Source organism: Homo sapiens, chromosome 17, assembly GCF_000001405.40.
Source record: "Homo sapiens chromosome 17, GRCh38.p14 Primary Assembly".
NCBI classification, from domain to species: Eukaryota; Metazoa; Chordata; class Mammalia; order Primates; family Hominidae; genus Homo; species Homo sapiens.
Genome location: NC_000017.11, coordinates 43,079,150 through 43,099,219, shown reverse-complemented (window position 1 = coordinate 43,099,219; position 20,070 = coordinate 43,079,150). Strand labels below are relative to the sequence as shown.

The 20,070-nt window shown below is 40.6% G+C and overlaps 1 protein-coding gene and 1 pseudogene across 368 annotated transcripts in view, besides 1 other annotated feature; one reads left to right on the top strand and one right to left on the bottom strand.

Annotated features, from left to right (window-relative positions):
* BRCA1 (BRCA1 DNA repair associated) overlaps window positions 1-20,070 on the top strand; it is a 126,033-nt gene that overhangs the window by 71,108 nt on the left and 34,855 nt on the right. For 114 of the 368 annotated variants that reach the window (NM_001407959.1, NM_001407747.1, NM_001407962.1 and 111 more), the window contains 5 exons: window positions 1,931-1,976; window positions 3,298-3,374; window positions 4,360-7,785; window positions 8,188-8,276; window positions 16,645-16,816. In NM_001407959.1, coding sequence (NP_001394888.1) covers window positions 1,931-1,976; window positions 3,298-3,374; window positions 4,360-7,785; window positions 8,188-8,276; window positions 16,645-16,816 — 3,810 coding nt within the window. Of the gene's footprint in view, window positions 1-1,930; window positions 1,977-3,297; window positions 3,375-4,359; window positions 7,786-8,187; window positions 8,277-16,644; window positions 16,817-19,820; window positions 19,887-20,070 lie in introns of all 368 variants that reach the window. The other 254 variants (NM_001408458.1, NM_001408510.1, NM_001408453.1 and 251 more) reach the window with 17 other exon arrangements.
* Window positions 6,902-8,101: an enhancer, noted in NCBI's record as "BRD4-independent group 4 enhancer chr17:41243136-41244335 (GRCh37/hg19 assembly coordinates)". NCBI's record gives its function as "activates an origin of replication core promoter dependent on BRD2, P300/CBP, MED14 and CDK7 cofactors, and independent of BRD4, by STARR-seq in HCT116 cells {active_cell/tissue: HCT116}" and the evidence as "EXISTENCE:reporter gene assay evidence [ECO:0000049][PMID:35650434]".
* On the bottom strand, window positions 19,404-19,959 carry RPL21P4 (ribosomal protein L21 pseudogene 4; annotated as a pseudogene).

The following is a 20,070-nucleotide window of genomic DNA, read 5'->3' as shown; positions in this document are numbered from 1 at the left end:
GGAGAGTAGCAATAAGAAAAAACATGATGGATTGCTACAGTATTTAGTTCCAAGATAAATTGTACTAGATGAGGAAGCCTTTTAAGAAGAGCTGAATTGCCAGGCGCAGTGGCTCACGCCTGTAATCCCAGCACTTTGGGAGGCCGAGGTGGGCGGATCACCTGAGGTCGGGAGTTCAAGACCAGCCTGACCAACATGGAGAAACCCCATCTCTACTAAAAAAAAAAAAAAAAAAATTAGCCGGGGTGGTGGCTTATGCCTGTAATCCCAGCTACTCAGGAGGCTGAGGCAGGAGAATCGCTTGAACCCAGGAAGCAGAGGTTGCAGTGAGCCAAGATCGCACCATTGCACTCCAGCCTAGGCAACAAGAGTGAAACTCCATCTCAAAAAAAAAAAAAAAGAGCTGAATCTTGGCTGGGCAGGATGGCTCGTGCCTGTAATCCTAACGCTTTGGAAGACCGAGGCAGAAGGATTGGTTGAGTCCACGAGTTTAAGACCAGCCTGGCCAACATAGGGGAACCCTGTCTCTATTTTTAAAATAATAATACATTTTTGGCCGGTGCGGTGGCTCATGCCTGTAATCCCAATACTTTGGGAGGCTGAGGCAGGTAGATCACCTGAGGTCAGAGTTCGAGACCAGCCTGGATAACCTGGTGAAACCCCTCTTTACTAAAAATACAAAAAAAAAAAAAAATTAGCTGGGTGTGGTAGCACATGCTTGTAATCCCAGCTACTTGGGAGGCTGAGGCAGGAGAATCGCTTGAACCAGGGAGGCGGAGGTTACAATGAGCCAACACTACACCACTGCACTCCAGCCTGGGCAATAGAGTGAGACTGCATCTCAAAAAAATAATAATTTTTAAAAATAATAAATTTTTTTAAGCTTATAAAAAGAAAAGTTGAGGCCAGCATAGTAGCTCACATCTGTAATCTCAGCAGTGGCAGAGGATTGCTTGAAGCCAGGAGTTTGAGACCAGCCTGGGCAACATAGCAAGACCTCATCTCTACAAAAAAATTTCTTTTTTAAATTAGCTGGGTGTGGTGGTGTGCATCTGTAGTCCCAGCTACTCAGGAGGCAGAGGTGAGTGGATACATTGAACCCAGGAGTTTGAGGCTGTAGTGAGCTATGATCATGCCACTGCACTCCAACCTGGGTGACAGAGCAAGACCTCCAAAAAAAAAAAAAAAAGAGCTGCTGAGCTCAGAATTCAAACTGGGCTCTCAAATTGGATTTTCTTTTAGAATATATTTATAATTAAAAAGGATAGCCATCTTTTGAGCTCCCAGGCACCACCATCTATTTATCATAACACTTACTGTTTTCCCCCCTTATGATCATAAATTCCTAGACAACAGGCATTGTAAAAATAGTTATAGTAGTTGATATTTAGGAGCACTTAACTATATTCCAGGCACTATTGTGCTTTTCTTGTATAACTCATTAGATGCTTGTCAGACCTCTGAGATTGTTCCTATTATACTTATTTTACAGATGAGAAAATTAAGGCACAGAGAAGTTATGAAATTTTTCCAAGGTATTAAACCTAGTAAGTGGCTGAGCCATGATTCAAACCTAGGAAGTTAGATGTCAGAGCCTGTGCTTTTTTTTTGTTTTTGTTTTTGTTTTCAGTAGAAACGGGGGTCTCACTTTGTTGGCCAGGCTGGTCTTGAACTCCTAACCTCAAATAATCCACCCATCTCGGCCTCCTCAAGTGCTGGGATTACAGGTGAGAGCCACTGTGCCTGGCGAAGCCCATGCCTTTAACCACTTCTCTGTATTACATACTAGCTTAACTAGCATTGTACCTGCCACAGTAGATGCTCAGTAAATATTTCTAGTTGAATATCTGTTTTTCAACAAGTACATTTTTTTAACCCTTTTAATTAAGAAAACTTTTATTGATTTATTTTTTGGGGGGAAATTTTTTAGGATCTGATTCTTCTGAAGATACCGTTAATAAGGCAACTTATTGCAGGTGAGTCAAAGAGAACCTTTGTCTATGAAGCTGGTATTTTCCTATTTAGTTAATATTAAGGATTGATGTTTCTCTCTTTTTAAAAATATTTTAACTTTTATTTTAGGTTCAGGGATGTATGTGCAGTTTGTTATATAGGTAAACACACGACTTGGGATTTGGTGTATAGATTTTTTTCATCATCCGGGTACTAAGCATACCCCACAGTTTTTTGTTTGCTTTCTTTCTGAATTTCTCCCTCTTCCCACCTTCCTCCCTCAAGTAGGCTGGTGTTTCTCCAGACTAGAATCATGGTATTGGAAGAAACCTTAGAGATCATCTAGTTTAGTTCTCTCATTTTATAGTGGAGGAAATACCCTTTTTGTTTGTTGGATTTAGTTATTAGCACTGTCCAAAGGAATTTAGGATAACAGTAGAACTCTGCACATGCTTGCTTCTAGCAGATTGTTCTCTAAGTTCCTCATATACAGTAATATTGACACAGCAGTAATTGTGACTGATGAAAATGTTCAAGGACTTCATTTTCAACTCTTTCTTTCCTCTGTTCCTTATTTCCACATATCTCTCAAGCTTTGTCTGTATGTTATATAATAAACTACAAGCAACCCCAACTATGTTACCTACCTTCCTTAGGAATTATTGCTTGACCCAGGTTTTTTTTTTTTTTTTTTTGGAGACGGGGTCTTGCCCTGTTGCCAGGATGGAGTGTAGTGGCGCCATCTCGGCTCACTGCAATCTCCAACTCCCTGGTTCAAGCGATTCTCCTGTCTCAATCTCACGAGTAGCTGGGACTACAGGTATACACCACCACGCCCGGTTAATTGACCATTCCATTTCTTTCTTTCTCTCTTTTTTTTTTTTTTTTTTGAGACAGAGTCTTGCTCTGTTGCCCAGGCTGGAGTACAGAGGTGTGATCTCACCTCTCCGCAACGTCTGCCTCCCAGGTTGAAGCCATACTCCTGCCTCAGCCTCTCTAGTAGCTGGGACTACAGGCGCGCGCCACCACACCCGGCTAATTTTTGTATTTTTAGTAGAGATGGGGTTTCACCATGTTGGCCAGGCTGGTCTTGAACTCATGACCTCAAGTGGTCCACCCGCCTCAGCCTCCCAAAGTGCTGGAATTACAGGCTTGAGCCACCGTGCCCAGCAACCATTTCATTTCAACTAGAAGTTTCTAAAGGAGAGAGCAGCTTTCACTAACTAAATAAGATTGGTCAGCTTTCTGTAATCGAAAGAGCTAAAATGTTTGATCTTGGTCATTTGACAGTTCTGCATACATGTAACTAGTGTTTCTTATTAGGACTCTGTCTTTTCCCTATAGTGTGGGAGATCAAGAATTGTTACAAATCACCCCTCAAGGAACCAGGGATGAAATCAGTTTGGATTCTGCAAAAAAGGGTAATGGCAAAGTTTGCCAACTTAACAGGCACTGAAAAGAGAGTGGGTAGATACAGTACTGTAATTAGATTATTCTGAAGACCATTTGGGACCTTTACAACCCACAAAATCTCTTGGCAGAGTTAGAGTATCATTCTCTGTCAAATGTCGTGGTATGGTCTGATAGATTTAAATGGTACTAGACTAATGTACCTATAATAAGACCTTCTGTAACTGATTGTTGCCCTTTCGTTTTTTTTTTTGTTTGTTTGTTTGTTTTTTTTTGAGATGGGGTCTCACTCTGTTGCCCAGGCTGGAGTGCAGTGATGCAATCTTGGCTCACTGCAACCTCCACCTCCAAGGCTCAAGCTATCCTCCCACTTCAGCCTCCTGAGTAGCTGGGACTACAGGCGCATGCCACCACACCCGGTTAATTTTTTGTGGTTTTATAGAGATGGGGTTTCACCATGTTACCGAGGCTGGTCTCAAACTCCTGGACTCAAGCAGTCTGCCCACTTCAGCCTCCCAAAGTGCTGCAGTTACAGGCTTGAGCCACTGTGCCTGGCCTGCCCTTTACTTTTAATTGGTGTATTTGTGTTTCATCTTTTACCTACTGGTTTTTAAATATAGGGAGTGGTAAGTCTGTAGATAGAACAGAGTATTAAGTAGACTTAATGGCCAGTAATCTTTAGAGTACATCAGAACCAGTTTTCTGATGGCCAATCTGCTTTTAATTCACTCTTAGACGTTAGAGAAATAGGTGTGGTTTCTGCATAGGGAAAATTCTGAAATTAAAAATTTAATGGATCCTAAGTGGAAATAATCTAGGTAAATAGGAATTAAATGAAAGAGTATGAGCTACATCTTCAGTATACTTGGTAGTTTATGAGGTTAGTTTCTCTAATATAGCCAGTTGGTTGATTTCCACCTCCAAGGTGTATGAAGTATGTATTTTTTTAATGACAATTCAGTTTTTGAGTACCTTGTTATTTTTGTATATTTTCAGCTGCTTGTGAATTTTCTGAGACGGATGTAACAAATACTGAACATCATCAACCCAGTAATAATGATTTGAACACCACTGAGAAGCGTGCAGCTGAGAGGCATCCAGAAAAGTATCAGGGTAGTTCTGTTTCAAACTTGCATGTGGAGCCATGTGGCACAAATACTCATGCCAGCTCATTACAGCATGAGAACAGCAGTTTATTACTCACTAAAGACAGAATGAATGTAGAAAAGGCTGAATTCTGTAATAAAAGCAAACAGCCTGGCTTAGCAAGGAGCCAACATAACAGATGGGCTGGAAGTAAGGAAACATGTAATGATAGGCGGACTCCCAGCACAGAAAAAAAGGTAGATCTGAATGCTGATCCCCTGTGTGAGAGAAAAGAATGGAATAAGCAGAAACTGCCATGCTCAGAGAATCCTAGAGATACTGAAGATGTTCCTTGGATAACACTAAATAGCAGCATTCAGAAAGTTAATGAGTGGTTTTCCAGAAGTGATGAACTGTTAGGTTCTGATGACTCACATGATGGGGAGTCTGAATCAAATGCCAAAGTAGCTGATGTATTGGACGTTCTAAATGAGGTAGATGAATATTCTGGTTCTTCAGAGAAAATAGACTTACTGGCCAGTGATCCTCATGAGGCTTTAATATGTAAAAGTGAAAGAGTTCACTCCAAATCAGTAGAGAGTAATATTGAAGACAAAATATTTGGGAAAACCTATCGGAAGAAGGCAAGCCTCCCCAACTTAAGCCATGTAACTGAAAATCTAATTATAGGAGCATTTGTTACTGAGCCACAGATAATACAAGAGCGTCCCCTCACAAATAAATTAAAGCGTAAAAGGAGACCTACATCAGGCCTTCATCCTGAGGATTTTATCAAGAAAGCAGATTTGGCAGTTCAAAAGACTCCTGAAATGATAAATCAGGGAACTAACCAAACGGAGCAGAATGGTCAAGTGATGAATATTACTAATAGTGGTCATGAGAATAAAACAAAAGGTGATTCTATTCAGAATGAGAAAAATCCTAACCCAATAGAATCACTCGAAAAAGAATCTGCTTTCAAAACGAAAGCTGAACCTATAAGCAGCAGTATAAGCAATATGGAACTCGAATTAAATATCCACAATTCAAAAGCACCTAAAAAGAATAGGCTGAGGAGGAAGTCTTCTACCAGGCATATTCATGCGCTTGAACTAGTAGTCAGTAGAAATCTAAGCCCACCTAATTGTACTGAATTGCAAATTGATAGTTGTTCTAGCAGTGAAGAGATAAAGAAAAAAAAGTACAACCAAATGCCAGTCAGGCACAGCAGAAACCTACAACTCATGGAAGGTAAAGAACCTGCAACTGGAGCCAAGAAGAGTAACAAGCCAAATGAACAGACAAGTAAAAGACATGACAGCGATACTTTCCCAGAGCTGAAGTTAACAAATGCACCTGGTTCTTTTACTAAGTGTTCAAATACCAGTGAACTTAAAGAATTTGTCAATCCTAGCCTTCCAAGAGAAGAAAAAGAAGAGAAACTAGAAACAGTTAAAGTGTCTAATAATGCTGAAGACCCCAAAGATCTCATGTTAAGTGGAGAAAGGGTTTTGCAAACTGAAAGATCTGTAGAGAGTAGCAGTATTTCATTGGTACCTGGTACTGATTATGGCACTCAGGAAAGTATCTCGTTACTGGAAGTTAGCACTCTAGGGAAGGCAAAAACAGAACCAAATAAATGTGTGAGTCAGTGTGCAGCATTTGAAAACCCCAAGGGACTAATTCATGGTTGTTCCAAAGATAATAGAAATGACACAGAAGGCTTTAAGTATCCATTGGGACATGAAGTTAACCACAGTCGGGAAACAAGCATAGAAATGGAAGAAAGTGAACTTGATGCTCAGTATTTGCAGAATACATTCAAGGTTTCAAAGCGCCAGTCATTTGCTCCGTTTTCAAATCCAGGAAATGCAGAAGAGGAATGTGCAACATTCTCTGCCCACTCTGGGTCCTTAAAGAAACAAAGTCCAAAAGTCACTTTTGAATGTGAACAAAAGGAAGAAAATCAAGGAAAGAATGAGTCTAATATCAAGCCTGTACAGACAGTTAATATCACTGCAGGCTTTCCTGTGGTTGGTCAGAAAGATAAGCCAGTTGATAATGCCAAATGTAGTATCAAAGGAGGCTCTAGGTTTTGTCTATCATCTCAGTTCAGAGGCAACGAAACTGGACTCATTACTCCAAATAAACATGGACTTTTACAAAACCCATATCGTATACCACCACTTTTTCCCATCAAGTCATTTGTTAAAACTAAATGTAAGAAAAATCTGCTAGAGGAAAACTTTGAGGAACATTCAATGTCACCTGAAAGAGAAATGGGAAATGAGAACATTCCAAGTACAGTGAGCACAATTAGCCGTAATAACATTAGAGAAAATGTTTTTAAAGAAGCCAGCTCAAGCAATATTAATGAAGTAGGTTCCAGTACTAATGAAGTGGGCTCCAGTATTAATGAAATAGGTTCCAGTGATGAAAACATTCAAGCAGAACTAGGTAGAAACAGAGGGCCAAAATTGAATGCTATGCTTAGATTAGGGGTTTTGCAACCTGAGGTCTATAAACAAAGTCTTCCTGGAAGTAATTGTAAGCATCCTGAAATAAAAAAGCAAGAATATGAAGAAGTAGTTCAGACTGTTAATACAGATTTCTCTCCATATCTGATTTCAGATAACTTAGAACAGCCTATGGGAAGTAGTCATGCATCTCAGGTTTGTTCTGAGACACCTGATGACCTGTTAGATGATGGTGAAATAAAGGAAGATACTAGTTTTGCTGAAAATGACATTAAGGAAAGTTCTGCTGTTTTTAGCAAAAGCGTCCAGAAAGGAGAGCTTAGCAGGAGTCCTAGCCCTTTCACCCATACACATTTGGCTCAGGGTTACCGAAGAGGGGCCAAGAAATTAGAGTCCTCAGAAGAGAACTTATCTAGTGAGGATGAAGAGCTTCCCTGCTTCCAACACTTGTTATTTGGTAAAGTAAACAATATACCTTCTCAGTCTACTAGGCATAGCACCGTTGCTACCGAGTGTCTGTCTAAGAACACAGAGGAGAATTTATTATCATTGAAGAATAGCTTAAATGACTGCAGTAACCAGGTAATATTGGCAAAGGCATCTCAGGAACATCACCTTAGTGAGGAAACAAAATGTTCTGCTAGCTTGTTTTCTTCACAGTGCAGTGAATTGGAAGACTTGACTGCAAATACAAACACCCAGGATCCTTTCTTGATTGGTTCTTCCAAACAAATGAGGCATCAGTCTGAAAGCCAGGGAGTTGGTCTGAGTGACAAGGAATTGGTTTCAGATGATGAAGAAAGAGGAACGGGCTTGGAAGAAAATAATCAAGAAGAGCAAAGCATGGATTCAAACTTAGGTATTGGAACCAGGTTTTTGTGTTTGCCCCAGTCTATTTATAGAAGTGAGCTAAATGTTTATGCTTTTGGGGAGCACATTTTACAAATTTCCAAGTATAGTTAAAGGAACTGCTTCTTAAACTTGAAACATGTTCCTCCTAAGGTGCTTTTCATAGAAAAAAGTCCTTCACACAGCTAGGACGTCATCTTTGACTGAATGAGCTTTAACATCCTAATTACTGGTGGACTTACTTCTGGTTTCATTTTATAAAAGCAAATCCAGGTGTCCCAAAGCAAGGAATTTAATCATTTTGTGTGACATGAAAGTAAATCCAGTCCTGCCAATGAGAAGAAAAAGACACAGCAAGTTGCAGCGTTTATAGTCTGCTTTTACATCTGAACCTCTGTTTTTGTTATTTAAGGTGAAGCAGCATCTGGGTGTGAGAGTGAAACAAGCGTCTCTGAAGACTGCTCAGGGCTATCCTCTCAGAGTGACATTTTAACCACTCAGGTAAAAAGCGTGTGTGTGTGTGCACATGCGTGTGTGTGGTGTCCTTTGCATTCAGTAGTATGTATCCCACATTCTTAGGTTTGCTGACATCATCTCTTTGAATTAATGGCACAATTGTTTGTGGTTCATTGTCTCCTTAAATTAGACTGTAAGCACCTTGATGGAACTCATACTACCTTTTATTTCACACACACGCACACGCGCACACACAGCCTACACATACACTGCCTAGCTCATTGTAGCATACTAAATACTGATTTTAATGAATAAGCTAAACCTTCGAAACCCATTTGCTAATCCCAGCACTTTGGGAGGCCAAGGTGGGTGGATCACCTCAGGTCAGAAGTTTGAGACCAGCCTGGCCAACATGGTGAAACCCCACATCTACTAAAAATACAAAAATTAGCTGGGCGTGGTGGCCAATGCCTTGTAATCCCAGCTATTCTGGAGGCTGAGACAGGAGAATCGCCTGAACCTGGGAGGCGGAGGTTGCACTGAGCTGGGATTGTACCACTGCACTCCAGCCTGGGTGACAAAGTGAGACTCCATCTCAAAAACAAACAAACAAAAACACATCATTTCCCCTATAGCAAAAACATGACGGCACTTACTGTATCAAGAGAGGTGAGAAAAAGGAGCCACAGCAGGATGATTCAAGGGACTCTGCATAGCTCCATTTTAAGAATATGCCTACTGCAGGTCAGAGAAGGTAAGCAAACTGCCTAAGGCCACACAGCCAGGTACAGAACTCTCACCAATATTATTGCCAGCAATCGCAATTTTGGTGTTTATTCTTGGTACCAAGTTGGAGACTATAGGGTTCTCTTCCTAATAGAGACCATCTAGCCTTTCACTGTTTTGTGGATACTTCTTTCTCTTCTTCTTTTTTTTTTTCCCTTTTAAAATCTAGTTATTTTTTTCTTTTTGGTTTCTTTGACACAGGGTCTCTTACTCTGTTACCCAGGCTGGAATGGAGTAGTGCAGTCATGGTTCACTGTAGCTTTGACTTCCTGGGCTCAAGCGATCCTCCTACCTCAGCTTCCCGAGTAGCTGGGACCACAGGCGCCCACCAACACCTCCAGCTAATTTTTAAGTTTTTACTAGAGACAACATCTCACTATGTTGCCCAGGCTGGTCTCAAAATCCTGGGCTCAAGTGATCCCACCTCAGCCTCCCAAAATGCTGGGATTACAGGTGTGTGCAACCACGCCTGGCCTATTTTTTTTTTAATTGCTCATAAATCATCTTTTTTCTTTAAAAAAAAGAAAGATGGGAGGCTAAAGCAGGAGAATCACTTGAACCCAGGAGGCGGAGGTTGCAGTGAGCTGAGATCATGCTGCTGCTCTCCAGCCTGGGCAACAAGAGTGAAACTCCATCTCAAAAAAAAAAAAAAAGAAAGTACACAATTTTACTTTCTGGACCTAATGGTCAAGGCCAATAATTTGGTCACCTATGAAATAAATAAAAGCTTTACCATATATATGACCATTTGATAATGTAATATGAAATGTTTATGTACTAAAGGCAGAATAGTCTAGAAAAAACATTCTGTATCACAACGTCTAAAAATGAATATCATCTTCATCATAGAACCAGGCTCTTTCTCCTAATTTTTTTTTTTGAGATGGAGTTTTGCTCTGTCACCCAGGCTGGAATGCAGTGGCACAATTTTGGCTCACTGCAACCTTCAGCTCCCAGGTTCAGGATCAAGTGATTTTCGTGCTTCAGCCTTCTAAGTAGCTGGGATTACAGGTGACTGCCACCACACCCAGCTCATTTTTTTGTATTTTTTTAGTAGAGAGAGGGTTTCACCATGTTGGCCAGGCTCGTCTCGAACTCCTGACCTCAAATAATCCACCCGTCTCAGCCTCCCAAAGTGCTGAGATTACAGGCGTGAGCCACCAGGCCTGGCCTCCTAATTTTTATTTGTAGAAGTGGCACCAAAATTTTCCAAGTTCTCATGCAAAAATTCAGGCTCATCTCAGTTTATTTTTTTCATTTATTTATCTCCCACTAAATTGACAACTTCTAATAATTAGGTTGGTTCTTTGTATTCCCAGCACAGGGTTCTATGCAGAATACACACACAGCAGTTGCTGGCAATAATATTGGTGAGAGTTCTGTACTGGGCTATGTGATCTTAGACAGTTTGCTTATGTTCTCTGACCTGCCGTAGGCACATTCTTAAAATGAAGCTGTTCAGACCCCCTCGATTCATCCTGCTGTGGCTTCTTTTTCCCACCTAAATCTTAAATACCCTTTTAGCTGCTAGTAAGTGAATGATGTTTTTTTATGAACTTTCTGAAGTCAGATTAGATGAAGTTGAGAAAAGCCTGATATTCTTATAAAGTTATATATGTGCATCATAGAAAACTTAGAAAATACAGATAAACAAAAATCATCCATGGACGAACCTTGAAGACATTGTGTTAACTGAAATAAACCGGACACCAAAGGACACATGTTATATGCTTCCACTTATATGAGATACCTAGAATAGTTACATTTGGTTACTCTGGGTACATTGCCTATAGATAAGCCTTGCTCCACAAGGAGCAGTTAAAAAAAAAAAAAAGATAAATTCATAGGATGGAAGGTAGAATAGTGGTTACTAGGGACTTGGGGAGGGGGAAATGGGGAGTTACTGTTTGATGAGTGCAGATTTCAGTTTGGGATGATGAAAAAGTTCTGGAGATAGATAGTGGCAATGGTAACACAACAGTGTGAAAATAATGCCACTGAACTGTACACTTAAAATGATTAAAATGATAAGTTAATTGTAATTTGTGTTATCCAGAAATGGTTAGCAATTTATTGGTGTATATTCTTTTAGTATTCCTGTGTGTGCACAGGGGTGCTTGTATATACTTTATCTTTAAAATATATCCAGGAAGCTAGGCACAGTGGCTTACACCTGTAATCCCAGCACTTTGGGAGGGTGAGGCAGGAAGATTGCCTGAGCCCCGGAGGTCAAGGCTGCAGTGAGTTGTGATCACGCTACTGCACTCTGTTCTGGGCAACCCCTGTCTGGGAAAAAAAAAAAAATTAGTGAGGCTTAGTGGTGCACACCTGTAGTCTCAGCTACTTGAGTGGCTGGGGTAGGATTGCTTGATCCCAGCAAGTTGAGGCCGTGGTGAGCCATGATGGTGCCACTGCACTCCATCCTGGGTGATATGGTGAGACCCTGTCTCAAAAACAAGAAATCCAGATAATTCTGTGCATTATAATCTAGCTTTTACTGGATCATTAAAATTCTTTTTTCTTTTTTTTTTTTTTTTTCTGAGATGGAGTTTCACTCTTGTTGCCCAGGCTGGAGTGCAGTGGTGTGACCTTGGCTCACCGCATCCTCTGCCTCCCGGGTTCATGCGATTCTCCTGCCTCAGCCTCCCGAGTAGCTGGGATTACAGGCATGTGCCACCATGCCCAGCTAACTTTGTATTTTTAGTAGAGACAGGGTTTCTCCATGTTGACCAGGCTGGTCTCAAACTCCTGGCCTCAAGTGATCCACCCACCTCGGCCTCCCAAAGTGCTGGGGTTACAGGCGTGAGCCACCGCACTCAGCCTGGGTCGTTAAAATTCTTAAGTGACTTCATTTTTAATTACTATATGGGATTCTATCTTTCCAGTGTATCATGATTTATTTGACCTATTGCTGAATGTTGGAGGTTTCAGGGTAAGAGGCACAGTTTGCTATTATGTACATCACTATAGTGGCATCCTGATAGCTAAATATTTGCCTACATCCCTGATTATTTCCTTAGTCTAAATTACTGGGACTAGGATTTTGGTGTTTGATACATGTTACTAAATTGTTTTTTAGAAAGATTAAACCAGTTTATGCTCTTCCAGCCCCTGTGGTATATGATAGTTCCCATTTTCCTGTACCTTGCCAACACTGGGTGATATCCAGTTTTAAAATCTAAATCTTGCATTGCTATGAGAACTACAATTAGAGAAGGCTTATCTTCTACTGCCCATTCTCTGTACAGAGCAAATCCCTCTAGACCTGAAGCCCCTTGGAGTTGTCAAGAAACCTTTGAGATGACTCCCCACTCTGTATCTGAGCTGTCACCAGTATTCTCCACTTCTTCAGGATTGCCATGGCAACTAAATTGATGAAAAGATTTAGGAGGCCTTTTCTCTCTTTGCAATTCCTATGATCCTTTTTGAATGTGGGTTTGGGACTCTGTCAATATACCCATCATCTAATTCTGTCCATTGTGTTTTAAAGTTTAAGGTTGCAATTTCTGATTACATCTGCCTTAGCCATACTGTATTATATTTGACATTCAATATACAATGTCCTTGTTTTTCTGTATTTCTAATCTTATTCCCAGAGATGTGTCTATTTGTTCAGGATTCATTTTGCAACGTGTTTTTACTAAGCATCTACCCAAAACCGTTGAAGTCAGATTTCAGGCTGTCTTACGTCTAAAGTAGCACAGGCAGGAAAAACTATTGAAGTGGGATTTTTTTTTCCCTTTTTGTACTGAACCGAGAAAAAGTATATAGATGATAGAGAATTCCTAATTTGGTATCATTGATATCTGGGTTTTTGTTTGTTTTTACAGAAGACTGATTAACTATACTTATTTATTAATTTATCTTCTCATTAATAAACACTTGCTGAGTGCTTACTGTCTGCTAGGCATTAGGGAGACAAATATGATTAAGGGAAGCTTCCTCCTATCAAGGTCATGTGTTCCATTTGGGTATACTAATGCATTAGCAATGTAAATCAAGTAGTGAGAGATCATCTGTTCCCGATAGGAGATGGATTATTGGTGGGGACTTCTGTGTGTGTGTGTGTGTGTGTGTGTGTGTGTGTGTGTGTATGTATGTGATAAAATAAATATAGGAAATGTTAATTATAGATTCTAAGTAGTAGATATATAAACACTCATTGCAAAGTTGCTTCAAGTTTTCTGTATATTTGAAAATATTCACAACATGTCGACAAAACTAGCATGATAAAGCCACTATTTGTGCTAAGACTTCAGCTTGTATCTGGATTAGGCTTATTATGTAGTAGTAGGAACATTAGAAATAGTTTTAACTCATTAAATACACATGTTTTATGGGAAGGTTTTATATATATATTTATATGTAATGAATGTGAACAAACAAGGGTCAGATATACACTCTGCTTCCCTCCAGACCAGTTCCGGCTGCTCTGCTGCACATTTCAGGAGTCTTATTAGAATTAGCCACATTCTGCCCACTTGCCCTTACTTCTCATATTTCACAACTCCTCCTGGTGGGGACTTAAGGAGACATTCAAACTAGGCCTTGAAAGATGAGAATTTTTCCAAGTGGAAAAAGAGGAGTGGCAGCAAGTAAGGTAAAGGTACAGAGTCATGGAATTCCCAGGAAACGTAAAGTTGTCATGTGTTATAGGAAAACAACTTGTGTGAGGGGTGTTGGGAGAAATGAGAGATAATACCAGGGTATAAAGGGCCTTTTGAATGCTATGTTGAGGAATTTTATCCTAATGGCAGTAATGACTAACAATTATATAGTGTTCAAAAAGTATAAATCAGCAGTGGTATACCACTAAGGGTTTTTTTCTTTTCTTTTTTTTTTTGAGACAGAGTTTTGCTCTGTTGCCCAGGCTGGAGTGCCGTGGCACGATCTCAGCTCACTGCACTTCCGCCACCTGGGTTCAAGTGATTCTTCTGCCTCAGCCAGTGTTTCACTGTGATGGCCAGGATGGAGCACTAAGGGTCTTTATGGAAGAAAAAGACATGATAAACAAGGCTTTTAGGGAACTTCTACAGTAATGTAGCTGTATTAAAAGTAGAGATCAGAGCAGCATAGTAGAAGTAGAAGGCTAGAGCTAATTGAAGGAGCACTTCAGAATTAGAATCAAGAAGTCTTAGAAACCTATTGGTTTTATTCTCCCTAATGTATTTGGCCACTTACCTGCTGGGGAATTTGTCTAAGTTATAAAAAATAATTCCTTTGGGAAACCCAAAGGAAAGTTATCTATTAATAATTACCCCACTACTTTTTCTGATTTATGTAATGGCCACGTAGAGGTTAGATGTGATGGTTGTGACAGTAGTGACTAATACAGCCTGTGAAGCATTTTGGTCAGATATCTATGTGCTTTCATTCCAGGTTGACTGAGGCAAGACTTTGGCTAGGGTTTGATCAGTGATGTAACTACTCACGAGTACCACGTGGTGGCAATGGCATTGCTGCAGACCTTGGCAGCAAAGCAGTGTTAGAGTAGCAGTAGAAACCTTTGTGAAGCTAGGAATACATTTTCTGGTCATAAAAACCTCCTGAAAATTGTGAACTCAGTGTAGCAGGAGAAAGAAGATGGCTTGTTTTTAGTAAAGGGCAAAGTCATTTTTAAGGATCAGAAGAAGAAACGGAGAGTGAAACAATGTGTTCCTGCCCTACTCCCCCACTGGACTTTTTGGCAACCATTGCTGTTCCTTCTAAAAGTGATTTTTAAACATGTATATTTTGAAGCCAGGCACAGTGACTCACGTCTGTAATCCCAGCACTTTGGGAGGCCGAGGCGGGCAGATCACCTGAGGTCAGGAGTTCAAGACCAGCCTGGCCAACATGGTGAAACCCCGTCTCTACTAAAAATACAAAAATTAGGCCAGGTGTGGTGGCTCACGCCTGTAATCCCAGCACTTTGGGAGGCCGAGGCGGGAGGATCATGTGGTCAGGAGATCCAGACCATCCTGGCTAACACGGTGAAACACCATTTCTACTAAAAATACAAAAAATTAGCTGGGCATGGTGGCGGGCGCCTGTAATCCCAGCTACTCAGGAGGCTGAAGCAGAAGAATGGCTTGAACCTGGGAGGCGGAGCTTGCAGTGAACCAAGATTGCGCCACTGCACTCCAGCCTGGGCAACAAAGTGAGACTCCGTCTCAAAAAAAAAAAAAAAAATTAGTCGGGCATGGTAACAGGTGCCTGTAATCCCAGCTACTTGAGAGGCTGAGGCAGGGAGAATTGCTTGAACCAGGTAGGCGGAGGTTGCAGTGAGCCAAGATCGCACCACTGCACTCCAGCCTGGGGCAACAGAGCAAGACTGTCTCAAAAAAAATAAATAAATAAAATAAATTCTTAAGAAGGATATTTTGGAAAACTCCTTACATACCTAAATTCTTTGTTTATCAAATACTTGGACTTAGCACACTCTTCTTTGAAATGGACCAATAAACAACAGGAGCCCATAAGCAAAAAGAACTCATTATTTTAAAAACAGTAACTATCCTTACAGGCTTTCTCAGGGCTCTTTCTGTTGGATCCTTCCCTCTCACAGGTCCTTGCTAATGATCTCTAGGTGGACACATTCTAGATGAGATGTCCCTGTCTAGAATGGCAGCACCATGAGGGCTATATCCTCAGTACTAGGACAGCGCCTGGTGCTTAATAGATAGTAAATAGTTGTCTAATTAACTGAGCAAACAGATAGATTCATGAATTAGCTTTTTGCTTTTTCTGTTAGAAACTAAAGGTTCAGGTCAGGCACAATGGCGCATGTCTCTAATCCCAGCACTTTGGGAGGCCGAGGCGGGCTGATCACTTGAGGTCAGGAGTTCAAGACCAGCCTGGCCAACATAGTAAAACCCTGTTTCTACAAAAATTACCAAAATTAGCCGGGCGTCTTGGCAAGCACCTGTAATGCCAGCTACTTGAGAGGCTGAGGTGGGAGAATCGCTTGAACCTGGGAGGAAGAGGTTGCAGTGAGCCGAGATGGTGCCAACCTGGGTGACAGAGGGAGACTTAAAAAAAAAAAGAAAGAAAGAAAGAAAAGAAACTAAAGGTTCAAAGAATCCCAGAAAAGGAAGAGTCCTCACAAGCCAGTAATCTAGGCAGGATTACTGATAGTATTTTTATATTTGTTGTATTTTTATAAAATGCCATAGATAGAGGGCTTTTTTCAACATTACATCAGTCTAAAAATCACACATTTTTATATGAACTAACCTAAATGTCTGATGAATCTCACAACACCAAGTCTTTGAAATGTGCCCATATAAATAAAATGTTAACAGATTCATGCTAATTTTAAATATCGATAGTGTTTAAATGCCTTAATTATTTTTTCACTCCCTAGCTTTAAAAGAAAATAACCAACTTCAAAAGGACATCACAATAACATCAAGTCTATTTGGGGGAATTTGAGGATTTTTTCCCTCACTAACATCATTTGGAAATAATTTCATGGGCATTAATTGCATGAATGTGGTTAGATTAAAAGGTGTTCAGCTAGAACTTGTAGTTCCATACTAGGTGATTTCAATTCCTGTGCTAAAATTAATTTGTATGATATATTTTCATTTAATGGAAAGCTTCTCAAAGTATTTCATTTTCTTGGTGCCATTTATCGTTTTTGAAGCAGAGGGATACCATGCAACATAACCTGATAAAGCTCCAGCAGGAAATGGCTGAACTAGAAGCTGTGTTAGAACAGCATGGGAGCCAGCCTTCTAACAGCTACCCTTCCATCATAAGTGACTCTTCTGCCCTTGAGGACCTGCGAAATCCAGAACAAAGCACATCAGAAAAAGGTGTGTATTGTTGGCCAAACACTGATATCTTAAGCAAAATTCTTTCCTTCCCCTTTATCTCCTTCTGAAGAGTAAGGACCTAGCTCCAACATTTTATGATCCTTGCTCAGCACATGGGTAATTATGGAGCCTTGGTTCTTGTCCCTGCTCACAACTAATATACCAGTCAGAGGGACCCAAGGCAGTCATTCATGTTGTCATCTGAGTACCTACAACAAGTAGATGCTATGGGGAGCCCATGGAAGATACATGGTATACAACATAGCTCTTGCTCTATTGGAAGCTAAGTGGAATGGGAGAAATTGGTGACAGGCAACCCCATAATTTCAGAAAGCTATGAAAAAGTACTCAGACATATTCCTTATAACACTGGTGTCACATCACAAAGACCTATTTAATGTGCTTCTGATTTATAGGGAGAGACATCCTATACTTCAGGAACTGCACTTTGATCCACAGAAAGCCTAGTGATGTAGAGCTCCTGTTAGTTCAAAAGGAAAAGAAAAGAACAACACAGAAAGCCTAATTATGCAATAGAGTCAAGTGCTTTATAGCAATGTTACAGTTATCAAAAAAAATCCAGATGGACCTCTGAGAGGATGCCATTGGAGTAACCAGGCAGATGCAGTTGATCAGAGCTGACTTCCTATAAGAAGTGAGCACTGAGCTGAGGAATAATGGCATAAATGAAGGAAAGTGAGATGGAAATTTGAGTTTTTAATTGGAAAGACAATACATCAGGCAGATTTTTAAATAGGGGCAAACAAACAGACACATAGGAGATGCTAGGCATGGGGTCCCCACTAGGATGCTGCTTAGAAACATGCAGGGGTGGTGAGTACTCCCAAAGTACACTTCATTCCTAGCTCAGTGATTCTTATCTGAGTGTTAAAGTTCCTTCTTCAGCACCCCGTTCCACAGTCCAACTGGGAACTTTAAGACCTTTCTTGGAGTCTTTCTAGGAACTCAAGTCTGCTACTTATACAGAACAGTGGCTTTGGTCCCCAGTTGTGCCTTGCAGTATTTTTGTGTTCAGGAAGAAACAGTAGCTCTTGGATAAAGAAGCTAGCTAGAAACTCTGTTGCTATGGCAGTGCTTCAAAATGTATTTCCTTAAATGCTTTCTTTGTAACTATCTTCATTTAGTTCATCTCTCAGATAATGAGAGATCAGAGTCCCATCCCCAGTATAATACTCTTCTTTAGGGTACTTTCACCATCTTCAGTCTAAACACAGACTAGACTTTCAATTATAATGTGTAAGATTTAAAATGTTATTATTGTGTGACTTTGAATATCTGTGTAAATCTACTATCTCCTCTTTGGTATATACGTGTGTTTATTTTTTTCTGGAGATCTGTAACTGAAATGCTTAATTTCTGAATTGTTTTGGATATCACAACTTAATACCAACATAAGTTTTGAGCCTTTTTCTCCCTAAATCTGGTGTGAGTCTAACTGAAACTCAAATGAACTTTTTAAAAATAATTTTTTCTTTTCTTTAATTTTTTTTTTAAGTAGAGACAGGGACGCACTGTTAACTAGGCTGGTCTTGAACTCCTGATCTTGAGCCATCCTCCCCGACCTGAGCCTCACCTTATAGAGAGGGTCTTGCTCTGTTGCCCAAGCTGGAGGGCAGTGGCATAATCACAGCTCACTGCAGCCTCTCGACCTCCTCAAGCGATCCTCCTGCCTTAGCCTCCCAAGTAGCTGGGACTATAGGCGTCCACCACCATACCCAGCTAATTTTTTTTTTTATTTTTTGTAGAGACAAGGTCTCCCTATGTTGCCCAAGTTGGTCTCAAACTCCTGGACTCAAGCAGTCCTCTCACCTCAGCCTCCCAAAGTGCTGGGGTTACAGGTGTGAGCCATGGCACCTGGCCAGAACTTCTAGTAAAAAGAATATTGTTGCCGGGTACGGTGGCTCACGCCTGTAACCCCAGCACTTTGGGAGGCCAAGGCAGGCGAATCACCTGAGGTCGGGAGCTCGAGACCAGCCTGACCAACATGGAGAAACCACATCTCTACTAAAACTACAAAAAATTAGCCGGGCGTGGTGGCACATGCCTGTAATCCCACCTACTTGGGAGCTACGGTGCCTGGCCTAGTTTATTATTTCTTAATATCTGTTGTCTTCCAGTGTCTTCCTTAATTCTTCACAATACCCTGTACAATGCTTAGCACACAGTGGGCAGTCTGTAAGTTTATTAAATGTTTGGTGTGGCCCATACTTCCTATCCACAAAGAATGTAACATGTTAAGACATCTAGATGAGGGAATGATTTAAGAGGAACTACAATAATATTCTGAAACTTGGACTCTGGATCTCTGCATTTAGACTTTCCTAAACCAGCCAGCAAGTAGATCATCATGTCACAAGGCTTAGGTTGGGCTTGCTGTTCAGAGAATGAATTAAGGATTAAGGAGAAAAAAAAGCAGAAAGGTTTTGCTCTGTTTTTCAGGTTCTATTGAGTTGTTAACTTCTAACAAGTTATCTTATTTGCTTCATTGCATGAGGCCCATTGTAGTAAGAAGAGGAATTTATATGCTAAATGTTCTGGTGATAGAATGACTTTTCTTTTTTTTTACAGTCCAAAGGTCTTTTTTTTTTTTTTTTAACACCTATTATGCCATGAATTCATAGGGAATAGGTTCCAGCTGCTCAGGCTCCTTCCCATTGGTTCTCACAAAGTGTGCTTCTCTGGGTGGAGCAGGCTGGTGCTTCAGTTGAACCCACGTACCTTTCTCTTTGGCTTCTTTCTTTTTCTGATCATTTTCCTTCACGCGTTTCAGGAAGCTGTCTTGGCTCTTAGAGTGTTTAATGTGCTCAATACGCACATTAATTCTCTTGGCAAGAATCTTGCCCTTAACTTGTTTACAGCGATGCCAACAGCATGCTGGGTCACGTTGTAGACTTTTCCAGTTTTGCCATGGTAACACTTGTGGGGCATTCCTTTTTGAACAGTACCCGTTCCCTTGATGTCTACAATTTCACCTTTCTTACAGATTCGCATATACATGGCCAAAGGAACAACTCCATGTTTTCTAAAAGGCCTAGAGAACATATATCAGGTGCCTCTCCTCTTTCCCTTTGTGTTCGTCATTTTGGCAAATTACTGAAAGATGGTGGTTCTGGCCAAAAGGAGGAATGACTTTTTAATAGCTGTGTTTGTATCTGAGCCTTCCCTCTGCCTTTCATTTTTTTTGTTTTGTTTTGTTTTGTTTTTGTTTGAGATGAAGTTTCACTTTTGTTGCC